The sequence below is a fragment of the Homo sapiens genome, chromosome 5 (assembly GCF_000001405.40).
Source record: "Homo sapiens chromosome 5, GRCh38.p14 Primary Assembly".
Lineage (NCBI taxonomy): Eukaryota > Metazoa > Chordata > Mammalia > Primates > Hominidae > Homo > Homo sapiens.
Genome location: NC_000005.10, coordinates 116018906 through 116032305, shown reverse-complemented (window position 1 = coordinate 116032305; position 13400 = coordinate 116018906). Strand labels below are relative to the sequence as shown.

Sequence of the window (13400 nt, the reverse complement as noted above, 5' to 3'; positions counted from 1 at the left end):
GTCACCTTGGCGATTAGAGCAACTGTTGCAGTATTGCAGTGCTTGTGTTCAAGTGACCCTTATTGTACTTAATAGTGGCCCCAAAACACAGGGTAGTGATGTAATATTTTTGAACTATAGTTGACCCCGAGTAACTGAAACTGTGGAAAATGAAACTGCAGCTAAGGGAAGACTACTTTACTATACATCTAGACGTGTACTGATTATACAAAATGGTAAAATATTATTAGCTATAACTGTAACATGGACTAAGTCAAGTTGTTAGCATAATAATTTCAAGTTACATGATTCACCCATGTATATGTAAAAGTCTTCCCAAAAGGCTTAGTGAAATTGTAAGATTTAATATTTTTAGAAGTATAAACACTACAGACTTTTATATAAAAGTTTCAAACAAGTTTTATTTAAAAGTGTAATGACTTACATTTATTTTTCATTTATATAGCTTTGTTAATTTAGAGTAACACATTTTAAAATTTTTAGTTTTTAGTTCCTCTGGTTGAAGATGGGAAGCGTTGACTGAAACAAGAAATTAAGTCTTTTCGGACAACTTGAATTTCCAACTTGGGCATAATTATTAAAATGCTTAGTAGATAACTTCAGGATTGTGGCTGTGGCCATTACCAAATTTGAAAGAAAAAAGTGACTTGAAATGAAAGTGCATTGCAGTTCCAGTAACAAATAGATGATAAACTTTATTTATCTTAAGTTTAATTTATTCAGAAACTTACAGAAAAGCTGGAGTTACTATAAAAATATTTTTTTTCCTGAATCAATAGGTTACTGCTTCACTCCTTCATGTATATTTCTTACAACCAAAATATTTTCTACATAAATACAACAAGCCATCAAAGTTGAGAAATTAACAATGATAGCATCTAATCTTCAGACTCCACCCAAGTTTTGCCAATTGTCCCAGTAATGTTAGTCTTTTATGGCGAAAGGAACCAGTTCAGGACCACACACTACATTCAGTTGTCATGTCTCTAAGCTCCTTCAGTCTAGAACAGATCCTCTGTCTTTCCTTGACTTTCATGACCTTGAGACTTGGATATTATTTTTGTGACATGTCCCTCAGTTTGTTTTTTCTTCATTATTAGATTCATGTTATGCAGTTTTGTTAGAAGTATAACAAGAGTAACAATGTAGTTTGTCATTTCATCTTATTAAATGGAATAAAATTTCTATTTATTCCACTGCAATGGAATATCATTGGAATTCATCACTTGATGAAGGTGACATCTGCCAGGCTTTTCCACTGTAAATTACTCATTTTGCCTTCATTATTCAACTGTACTTTGTGGGAAAGTACTTTGAAATTATGTAAATACCCTTCCTCATCAAAATTTTAATTGTTATTTAGCTCATGATTTCTTATTTTATTCCCTTATTGCCTTTATTATTATGATTCTCAAATTTTCCCACATTTGGCCAGTGGGGTTCTCTTCAAGCTGGCTTTTGTGCCCATTTGGTATGTCCCAATTATTTTTTTAGTACTTCCTTGCTTTTTGCTTCAAAAGATGTTCCACTTTTAATTGCCCCTTTCCCTTCCTGTCCTGGCCCTGAAATCAGCCATTTCTTCAAGGAACTTTGGGTTCTTTAGTGGAGAATGGCATCTAGAAGCCAAGATATGGGCAATAGCTGTGCTCATTATTAGGGTTGTCTTAGTTTGAGCTGCCATAACAATATACCATAGACTGGGTGGTTTAAGCAGTAGACATTTATTTCTCACAGTTCTGGAGGCTGGAAGGTCCAGTATCAAGGTGCCGACAGCTTCGGTTCCTGGTGAGAGCACTCCTCCTGGCTTGTAGGCAGCCGCCTCCTCTCTCTGTGTTCACATGCCATTTTTGGTGCATGCACACGGAGGGTGAGAGAATGCTCTGGTGTCTCTTCCTCTTCTTGTAAGGGCACTTATCACATCATGTGGGCTCCAACCTTAAGACCTCATCTAAACCTAAATACCTCCCAAAGTCCTCACCTCCAAATACTATTACCTTGGGGGTTAGAGCTTCAACATATGAATTGTTGGGGGATACATTCAGTCCATAACTAGGTGTTACTGCTGCTACTGTCTCTCAGGAGGGAAGCTAGAGTCTAAATCCATTAGGTTGGTGCAAAAGTAATTGCAGGTTTTGCCATTACTTTTACTCTTTCTCTATCTCTATATAAATAGAGATAGAGATGATGTAGATATAGCTATATTAGGTTGGTGCAAAAGTAATTCTGGTTTTTGCCACTAAAAGTAATGGCAAAAAAATATATCTGTATCTATGTATATACAGATAAAGAGCAAAATATATCTACACATATTACAGCTATTTATTACATACTTTACAGATACTTATAAATCTATCTATATATTGAAAACCATGAGTCCATACAAATACTTCCAATTCCATACCAGAACAGTTCATTCTTGTTCCCTTCGAGTATCTGTAACTCCCTTCTCCAACAGTGAGAAGCCTGGATCCTATTATGGATATATTTTCTTGTTTGACCCATAACCCTGTGGTAACCCACCTCCTATATCTGCCTCTGTCCTTCCCCATATGGATTCCCTTCTTACCCTCCCCAGGCTCTGATACCTCATACTAGGCCACCTTCCAACATATGGGCATCCTCTTTACCCCACAAAGACTTCAACTACCCATTCTGGGTTACACAACCCCCATTAGATACTCTTCTCACCCTATCTGGGCTCTAAGTCACCGTGTCATAACTCCCTTCGCCACCGTGTGGTAACCTTATTCACCCTGTCTGGGTTCTGATATCCCACTGTGATCTCCCCTCCTCTGTGTGGATTCTTTCTTCACCCCATTCAAACTCTTAAGCCCACTTCAGGTCATGGGCCACCATGGCTCCCCCTCAATTCCCACTGGTTCAGATGCCACCTTGCTCTATTTCACCTCTAGGACTGACTTATTTATGAAGGGAAGGGAAGAGGAAGAGTCCAAATAACTCCTAAATATATGTGTTGTACAGATTACCTTTGCTAAATCTTGTTGAATTAGAAGAATGAGCCAAAGGCAACATATGTATGGTTTCAAATGCTGCTAACTGTGCTAAATCATTCTTTGTGTGGGGGAGGCAGTTATATTTACTTGTAAGCATCCCCTAAGGCTTTGCTTTGAACATGGTAATCCTGCTAGAGTTTGGATGAGAAAAAGACAGCTTTTATTGGAGCAAAGAATGGATTAAACAGGAAAAGTAACTAAGACGAGCTACCTTTTAAATCTCATCTCACTTTGCTTCTTCATGCCTTCCCCAGAATAAATTGCTATACAGATTGGTCCCAGGGATCTAAATTACAAAAAATGCTGAACATCACACTAAGACATCTGTTCTTCCATTTAAAATCAACAATGGCAAGTCACTGAATGGGGTTGGGCAAAAAAAAAAAGCATAAGATTGTGAGAAAAAATTTAATTTCGAATTATGAAATTGGAAAAAATCATGACTATATTGTATATTTTGTTAATTATTTTCAAGATGAAAGGTATACAATAAATGGACTGGGTCAGGGAAATCATTTTATAGTTGGGGTGCTAACAGATAAGCTGTTTTTATTGGTTAATAAAGTATTTATGCCACACAGAAAATCAGCCTCGGTACCACTCCCTGACTTGTTACTGCATTATTGCTATCACAGAAACCAATCAACAATTACTTGTTTTTATAGTTTGTATAAGGTAAAGCATAATAAAATGCAGTGCTTAAGTAGCCAGCTTCATCCAAGTAAGTAAAAATGGTATATCATCCATTTTTTCCCCATATTTAGAGGAAAGACTATTAATTAAATATTTGGGAATTTGATTTTGGAGAAACGCCTTCAGCACTATTTAATTACTACAGAAGCTAAGATGTAATAGGATTCAGTTTAACTTTTAACAGTCTGGAGAGACCAGCCTACATGCTCTTTTGGCAAGATCAGTAGTTCTTGGCATCACCCAATACCAGGCATCAGAGCCTTCTTGACACTGAGTGTCAGCCTCAAAGCACGCTTGGTGGACTGAGAGCATGGTTGGGTAGGAAGATCAAGGAGCAAGGATAAGAACAACCAGGCAGAAGTAAGGCAGAGATTACTGGAAAGAGGAGAAAGGAGAAAAGGGGAGAAGGGAAGAGGCAGCTTGATAGAGAAAGAACGGGAGTGGAAACAGAGGAGAGAGCTATGTATGGCTTGAATGTGTCCCTCCAAGGTCATGTGTTGGAAACTTAATCCTCAATGCAATGTTGAGAGGTGGGACTTTTAAGAGGTGATTAGGTCATGAAGGTTCTGCCTTCATGAATAGATTAGTGCTGTTATCATGGGAGTTGGCTAGTTGTCTTGGGAGAGGGTTCCTGATAAAAAAGATGAGTTCAGTCCTCTTCCCTCTTCTTTCTCTTGCCCTCTTGCCTTGTACCATGGGATGATACAGCAGGAAGGCCCTAGTGAGATGCAGGCCCCTCGACCTTGGAATCTCCAGCCTTCAGAATGGTAAGAAACTCATCTCTGTTCTTCATAAATTACCCAGTCTAAGGTATTCTATGACAGCAGCACAAAATGGACTAAGACACAGAAGAAGAAGAGGAAGAGAAAAGCAGTTGAGAGGACAAGTGAAGACAAAGTTATTGAAAGATGAGATTCATTATCAGAGGAAATATGGGAAATATAGAATGAGTGTTTAAGAAAAAAAACAGGAAGGTATCTCAGCTACAACACTTTGTAGGCATGCAGATATTTTATTGCTGAAAATTTACATTTCTACATTTGAAGAAAAAATTCTCTGACCTATGACCTGTGGCCAAGTCTGAGTAGCCTGTGCTTTCGTTTGTCCACGTGGTGAAGTCCCACAGCCTCCCCTGACACTCAGGGAGAATCCTCTTGTGAATCAAATACAAAAGCAAACGTTTGTTTTGTATTTTCATTTATGGCTGCCTTAACTTATACAAGAAATAGGCAAAAAGTCTTAATCACATTGCTTTGAGCGTATGTAACATCTTTAAAGACTGTTAATTGATGTCATACTCCTTAATCTTTAAAAATATCACCCTGAGGAGGAGATTTGTAGTTTTACCCCCATTCTACAAAAATAAAAATAAAAGATTAAATCATATACACAAAGTCTAGAAGAGGAATGATTAGCTTTAGTTGTCTTGTTTTAATCAAGCATGAGAAAACTAAGCTAATTCCATACATTGGGACTGATGAAAATGTGTAAAGTAAGTTGGTCCACATTACAAGTAGGTTCAATTTGGCCAAAAGACACTATGTTTCAAACTTAATCCCCTGAGTGCAAAACTGTAAGGATTATGCTCCAGTTAGCCTTTTAGTTCTGTTTCTTTCATTTCAAGATTCCTTTTGCCCTAAATAGTAGCCTATACTTGCTATTGTCTTTTGACATCATTGTTTTCACTCGTACGCTTAGGCTGAAAGGGTGTCCATCCCACTGGTGAATACACAATTAAGAGCTTCAGAGCAGAGCCTTCATCTCCACTATGGCCTCCACCACAGCAAGCCTAAGTGCACTTCCATGGATCCTACAATCATTTGTCTTTTTGTGACACCATAAAGTTTAGTAACCAGCAACACGTGGTTCAATGCAGGATGTACTGTGGGAGAGAGAAATGGGCAGGAGAAGACACACTTCTTGCCTTTAGGGCTCGTTAAATTGTCTCCTCTTTCTTTTTCAACTTGCTTTTCTTTGGCTCCACTGTCTTCTAGTGAATATACTTTTTGAGTTTCTGTCTTTTTATATTGTCATGTTATCTTCTCATTAGTCTTTTCAATCTTCAATGTTGAACTAAATAAACCCTAGGGCCTGGAAAAACTGTTATTTCCCTCAGCAAAGAATGTGCTCCTCATTAATGCCATTGATTTTTATATTCCACTGGCCTTCGCAACAAAATAAGCAAGACTATCTTAGGTGAATTTGTTTTTACGTGACATTTAAAGTAAATTCTGTGGGATTATAACCCAACATGAAGTGACATCTTTCCCAGAAATACAGCAGCATTGGCAAAATTGTCAGCAATCACCCACCCTCAGGGCCAAACATGACAATATGAGAAGAATGGCACTCTGAGTAATAAATGTGACTGAAATACAAATAAAATGTGTGGTTTTCCAGACTCACAAAGTATTGGAAGACAAAACTGTGAACAAACTACATTATAATATGCAAGAGGAGTGCTGAAAGATAGCCACAAGCTATGTGTTTCTCCTTAGCCACGCAGCTATCCTGGCACTTAGCTTCTTGTTTTTCAGATTTTCATTCTTTATTGTCTGTAAGTTGGCATGAACTCTGATCCTCTGGTGTTCCTCCAACATGTTACTGAAAAACTGCTGCAGCTGGAAGGACAGAGAGACAGATGATCAGTGCAATCCAACTTCCCATTTGGACAAAGTAAATGTCTAAATGCTAAGTAGCAACATGAGTTTGTAAATTGGTGATGATGGTTGGAATGAGTAGAAATGTATACTCCTAGGTTGTGTGTCCCTGGGGAGACTGTGACTGAGACAATGTGATGAACACCACACCTACCCCAAAGAAGCAGATGTAGACAGGAAGGTGCATGAAGCAGAAACTATGCCTTATTCCCAAAGCACATATTGAGTCTCAATGAATATTTACTGAACGCATATAGAGTGTTCTCTAAGATTTGCAGACAGAGATACAGTGAACCCCCCCAATTTTTTAAAAATCTCAAAAGAAACTGCAACTTCCGAAGCTCAAAATTGGTACATAATATTTGCAGTTTTACAAATGTCATTCTTTATTTTAGAATACTTAGATAATGAATTTGTACATTGGCTGAATTACCTCATTGGGTCAGGCCAAGCATTCAGTTATCAGAACATTTGTTGCAATATTATGTATAAGTCAGACTCCAAGTGAATAATAAGTTATATTCCAAAATATAAATAAGTTATAAGTTTTTTCAATTTTCATTTTACCGAGTCTCTTTTTGTATCAGTGGATTAGAACTCCGAACGCTTATAGCCATAAGATGAAAATGCCCATTCCAGCTCACAACAGCTCACTTCAACCCTAATATACTCGAAATTGCACAGTAATAGTGCTATCAAGCCTAATTACAATGTAAAAGAAATGTTTTAGGGACAAGTAAGTTAAAGAGCCAGGAACAATCCTCCCCCACTCTTTCCTTCCCTTCTCACACCTGCCGGGAGGTGGTAACCAACAGCCCACAACTCCACATCACGGATAGTGTGCCCAGGATTGGGCTCCTGTAGTGGTGGGAGGGGAGTGGTGGTGGTGTTTGGGATTGTAGGTGGGCTTCACGTGTGCTTGAGAGTATGTCTAGGAGGGGGAATATAAAAACCAGAGCCAGAGATGCAGAAGGTGTTTGAAAATTGTGCCTTTGGAGAGGGACGAGGGAGACAAATGACTTCATTTTCACTTTCTTTTTTATTATTTATTTTAGATACTATCCTGTGAACTGATGCAGCATAGCAGGACCGCTGGACCTTAAGATGTTGTTGACAAGGATAGTCATCTTAGCTAATTCATATATTTTTTTAAATTGCAATAATTTACTGCTAAATCCATTTTTACAATTTCGAAAAGCTGTGAGTGACTAGAGTTTTGAAACTTCAAAGATTGCTAAATTTATACGAACCTCATTTATTCATTCATTAACAACAAAACTTCACTGGATTCAGTAGAGGCAAAGATTGAACTAACGAATTTTAGAAGACAGAAACACACACTGAGTCTTGATTCGCGGAGCTTTTGTACCAGCATGTTCTGGGTGTAATGTGCTTTTCTTTCCCTTGTCCAGGGAATACCTGATAAATCAGATCCTGACAGCTCAGCCTTAGGCAGGCCAAAACTCAAAAAAAGAGAATTTCTTCGGGAATTAGCAGTTCTCCTTCTCTCATGATAACAATGATATCACTGTCTACTTGTCCTTTTTTTTTGCTTAGGATCATATTTCAGGCCTTTATGACCCACATATGTATTTGTTTATTTGCCTAGGGAGAGTTGATTTACCTTTATTTACAAAGGCTCTTCTTGTTCTTATTAACATAGTTTCAGGCCCTGGTGTTTAATTTTAATCAATTTTATCGGGATTTAATTTATGTACAATAAACTAGATCTACTTAAACTGTAAAAGTCAATGAATTTTGACCACTGTGTACCCCTTTGAAACCATATACACGATCAAGTACATTTCTTCTACCCAAAAAAGGGTCCTTGCAGTCCATCTCTCTCTGTCCCAGGAAACCACTGATCTGCCCTTTGTCACTATAGATCCATTTGCATTACCCAGAATGTGACTGCTTTCTTTTACTAAACATAATCACCTTGATATTCATCCATGTTGCTACACAAATTTTAAAAATTTCAGTATAGTATTCCATTATGTGGATATATTACTTTTCCTTATTCTTTTACCTATGGGTGGGCATTTAGATGGTTTCCAGTTAACATTTCAAAAAACTGCCTGTTTTCTGATGTGCTTGTGCCATGTTACATTCCTCCCAGTAGGATAAAAGAGTTCCAGTTGCTCCCTATCTTTGCCACCATTTGGTACCATAAATCTTTCTAATTTTACCTATGCTACTGGGTGTGTAGAGGTTGTATTTATATTGTATTCTTGTTTTACTTTGTGTGAATGTATCTTTTTGTAGACATTTGCTTTTGCCTGCTTTGTTTACTTTCTGGTTACAGCCCTTTTTCCTTCCAGAACTACCCCTTCCCCTTCCCAGTGCCAGTGACTTGGGTGGGGCTGTCTCCTAGTGTGGCCACAGGACCCTGGTTAGACCAATTAGAGTATTCCATCTTCCCTGGACACAGTGATTGGTACATCTGACCCAAGTAGGACCAATCAAAGTGCTTTTTTTCGGGGCAGGAACTCTTGAAGCTGTGAGAAAGTATCCTTCCTTCTGCAACTGAGAGTGCTGAGGATTATATAAGTGGGGAGCTATGCTTCTCTCCACAAGGAAAAAGACTGCCTAATAAAAATTCAGCCTAGAGGAAAGAAAAGCCAGGAAATGGTAGGAACCTAGAATAGACAAAACTAAGATATTATCTCAGTCCTCAGGGAGCTCATTATAGCCTCATGGGGTAGACATATTTACCAGTGATTACACTATAATGTAGGAAGCACTGTGGTAAAAATATATTCACAGGATGACCTGAAAGCATAGGCGAGGAGGGGGTATAAATCAGTTCATTAAAAAGTTCCTAGAATAGGTAATAGGAGCAGGATCTTAAAGGATGATTAGGAATTATCCAGCCAGGAACAGGAATGAGGAGTGTTCTCCAGACAGAAGGTAGAGTGTTTCTGAAATCCAGAAAATGTGAAGCAATGCAATAATTCAAGAAAATTTGTAAGTGGTACAGTATAACTAGAGGAAATGTGTTTAGGGGTGTCTGTCCGTCTCTCTTGCTCTCTGACACTTAGTGGTGAGGTGAGCAAAAATGAAGCCAAACTAAGGCAGGGGCCAGATCATTAAGGGCCTCATGTGCTAATCACAATATTTCAAAATTGCTTTGAAAAGCTATGAAAAGCTACTGAAGCTCTGGAACAGGGCAATGACTGGCAGTGATGGCAAAGGTGGGATGGAGGGAAGCCCGGTCTGGGACGGGAACCCTGGGCCAGAGTCCCCTGCATTCAGGTGAGAGAGGATGAAGTGCCACCCTCCATGAACAGGTGATCTCTATTTCAGAGGAGGATACAATTAAAAACACTTCTTTCACAGTGATACAGCACCAATAGAAGCATAGAATGTAATAATTCAGATAAGCATATTATTTTTAATTTTAGCAAGTCCAAATTGCATAAAAAGTGGTTTCCAAATTATCATTGTATTTCATAATATTTAAAGTACTTACCTCCACAATCTGTAAATCTGTAGTTACGGTTCTCCCTATTGTATATATTAGATTAATCAATGATTGTGTTCCATACCTACAAGGCAATAAGATGTTAATCAAGGGTGGAAAGCATTTTGCAAAATAAAGCTATATTTTATATAGCAGATGAAGGTCAAGTGTATGGCCCCTATTAATTCCTATGTCACAAATCTAAGTAAAAACATGTATGAACTAGTTTAGCTTCATCTTTTAATAGAGAATCCTATTAACACTAAGGAAGTTAAATACTTATATGTGTTACACAAATCTATTATCTAAATCTAAAAAGCTCTTCTTAAAAACAATTGTCTTTTAAAATGAGGTAGTTGGAATACATGTCACAAGTCTCAAATCAATACAATTTCTAAGGGAATAAATAAATATATAAATTATGCCCCTTAAAAAACAGTAGTTCATAGAGGATCCATTTCAGAACTGCTGACTAAAGCCCCCTGAACGTGTATTTAAAAATGTTGTATTTATGCGTGCTTTTTGGAGAGAAGATTAATATCTTCTGATGTTCTCTAAATGTTGGTGACCCTGAAGGCTGAGCACCATGGCTCTCCCTGTGCTTGTTTCAATAGGCGTGGTCATGGAAACTTCCCCTCTAGTTTAGTGTCCCTGAATATCTAGAAAAAAAAAAATCTTAAAATAGCTGTGAAGTATTGCTATGAAAAAACAGCAGACACTTACCTGCTCAAAGTGTGGCTGTAGTTAAAAAAGTAAATAAAAGACTTTGGGTGCATTAAAAAGGAAAGAAAAATTAAAATAGGGTTATTATAATGGACTGACCAAGAGACAGTTGAATAGTTAATATATACAATTGATTTACTTCAAAAATATGTACTTGAAATTAAAAATGATAAGAGTTAACTCTGGCATAATATACTAATAAAGGTGAGGGAAAATAGTGCTGCTGTTTTTCTAACTTTCTAGCTGTAACTTACACTGGGTCTACCTGAGCAACGTGAAGGACAATATAACTCTGCATATAATTGAGGCAAGCGAAACTGTTTCTATGAAGAAAGAAGAAACATTTCTTAGTTCTCTATTTTAACTGGCCAGCTAGGCAGCAAAAATCTATAAAATGACTCAAGAAATTTGAGTTCCAAAGAACCCAAATTCCAACCTTAAAAATAAAAATGGAAAACAGAGGAAACCTACCTATGGTGCTAAATGTGTGAATTTCTGCCAGACACAGGAGAAAGTTTACCCGAGGAGGCAGGGCTGGATTTGACATTACCTTGGGCAATTTATAAATTGTAAAAATGGAGAATAACAGATACTTAGAAGCATTGTTCTGGTGCATAAATGAGAAAATGTATATGGAAGCACCTATTAGATTACCTGGCAAACTTCATCCCTTCCTGCTCTTGTCAACTTCAACAGGGGTTATTTTTGAAACAGAGATGATTTATCATTCTTGTTGAGAGAGCAATCTCTTTCAAATATTACTCAACAAAATTGCATTACGAATAGTTTACCCCCACCGGTGTTCAAATACATTCTAATTAATATGAAGTCAAAAGCCAATACGACTCAATATAGTAATCCTTTCTAAAAAGTTGATAACATCTAACGTTAGTGTGGGAACAGTGATTTGGGTACTCCAGTCTGGCTCACCTTTCTGCCTCTCCTTCTTCTCACATTACCCCTCCCTTCATGTCCTCTGCCATGTCAGATTCCTTCTGGCAAGGATGCCCACGAGGCCAGCATGGGAACACCAAGGCATCCAGCCTGATCCATGCCATGGGAACAGGCCCCCCAGTGCTTGGACCCTCCACTCTGATAACTTCTCACTTTGCTTGTGCTCCTGTTTAGCCTTTTTGGCTGTGTTCCCCATCATGAAATACAACCAAGTAGAAGTGAAAACAATTCCAAGTTTTTAAGCTTAAGACTTTAGGCTATATAATAACATGTGGAGAAAAAAAATCAAGTGCTTAGTGAAGAGGGTAAGATTCATTTTGGACAGGTTGAGTTTAAAACTGATCATGCTCTGTATTCTATATTCAAATAAAAGTGGTTTTTCTGTATGCTGTGAAGCCCATTTAACAGAGATGATAACGGAACAAATAATGCTTCTACCACATCCAGTGGAAAGTCACAAAAATACTATTGCTTCATCACTATTCACATGCTTTCATAGGACCTATTCATAGCTATGTGTACCTACTGACTTTTCTGTAACTTGAAAGTAGCTTTATGACCAATGGAGTCTTTCTCATTGGAATGAGTATTCAAGAGATCATCTTTGGCCCAATAATTAACTAAATTTTCCCACACCAACCAGTATAATGCCCTGTACATGAGAGTGAGGGGCAAGACCAAGACCAAGCCAAAAGTTGTTTTATTTAATCAAATATTCCAAAATGTATTTCCAGATTAGGCTTTCTAGGAAGAATTCTGGGCCTGGCTGAAAGGAGCAGCGGTTCCTGCACTGCTATTGGCGATGTACTCAACTCCAACATGTGCCTTGGTGTGGAGACGATGTCTGTGAGCTTGCCTGCATGTCACTGTGAGACATATGCCCATGAATGCTCTGAGACAAGGGAGAGATGTACTCAAAACCACAGCACTGGTCACTTCATGCCCAGGGCCAAGCTGGACCTGAGATGGTATTTGTTTGTTTTTGCATTTAGGCAAGCTGCCTCTGCCAGTCTGTCTCTCACCCTGTAGAAATGGAGCACAAGATCCCAGCAAGATACCACCTTATGGGAGGGGCGCAAAGCCCCTCTGCTCGTACTCATGATGATGATTCTGGCTCCCACAGCCAAGACCAAACTAGCAACCAAAAACTCTACACATTAAAAAGCAAAAACAAAAATAAAATGAAATCTTCTGGAATAAGAAGTAGATTATTCAAACATTTTCATAAAAAAGCAACTGACTATGGGCAGAGGGAAGGATGAAAGTATTCTGTATGATGCTACAATGGTGAATATGCATCATTATACATTAATACATCAACACCCGTAGAATGTGCAACACCAAGAGTGAACCCTGTTGTAAACTGGGGACTTTGGGTGATAATGATGTGCCTGTTTATATTCATCAATTATAGTACAGCTATGAGCCACATAACAATGTTTCAGTCAACAATGGACAATATGTATGAGGGAGGTCCTACAAGATTAAAAAGGAGCTACAAAATTCCTATCCCCTAGCAATGTCATAGTCATTGTAACATTGTAGCACAATGCCTTTTAGCACATTATCTTTTCTATGTTTAGATATGTTTAAATACACAAATACTTGTCGCTGTGTTACTACTGCTTCCAGTATTCAGTAGCATGCTGTACAGGTTTGTAACCTAGGAGCAATAGACTATACCATAGAGCCCAGGTGTGTAGTAGGCTCTACCATCTAGGTTTGTGTAAGTACAGTCTATGCTGTTCACACAATGACTAAATCACCAAAGGATGCATTTCTCAGAATGTATTCCTGTTGTTAATCAACTCGTGACTGTAAATGTGTGGCTCTGATGCAGGATGTTGATAGAGGGGGAGGTTGTGTCTCTGTGGGGAGAGGGATATATGGGAA

The 13400-nt window shown here is 38.1% G+C and overlaps 1 protein-coding gene across 8 annotated transcripts in view, besides 1 other annotated feature; it reads right to left on the bottom strand.

The window, feature by feature from the left end:
• Positions 190-239: an enhancer, noted in NCBI's record as "active region_22942". NCBI's record gives its function as "activates an Ori minimal core promoter by ATAC-STARR-seq in GM12878 lymphoblastoid cells {active_cell/tissue: GM12878}" and the evidence as "EXISTENCE:reporter gene assay evidence [ECO:0000049][PMID:35858748]".
• The window catches only part of LVRN (laeverin), a 65132-nt gene continuing 56431 nt past the window's right edge, over positions 4700-13400 (bottom strand). For all 8 annotated transcript variants that reach the window (NM_173800.5, XM_047416915.1, XM_047416913.1 and 5 more), the window contains 2 exons: positions 9840-9915; positions 4700-6328 (listed from right to left, as the gene is read on the bottom strand). In NM_173800.5, the coding sequence (NP_776161.3) occupies positions 6188-6328; positions 9840-9915 (217 nt within the window). In that variant the 3' untranslated portion in view covers positions 4700-6187. The remainder of the gene's footprint in view (positions 6329-9839; positions 9916-13400) is intronic.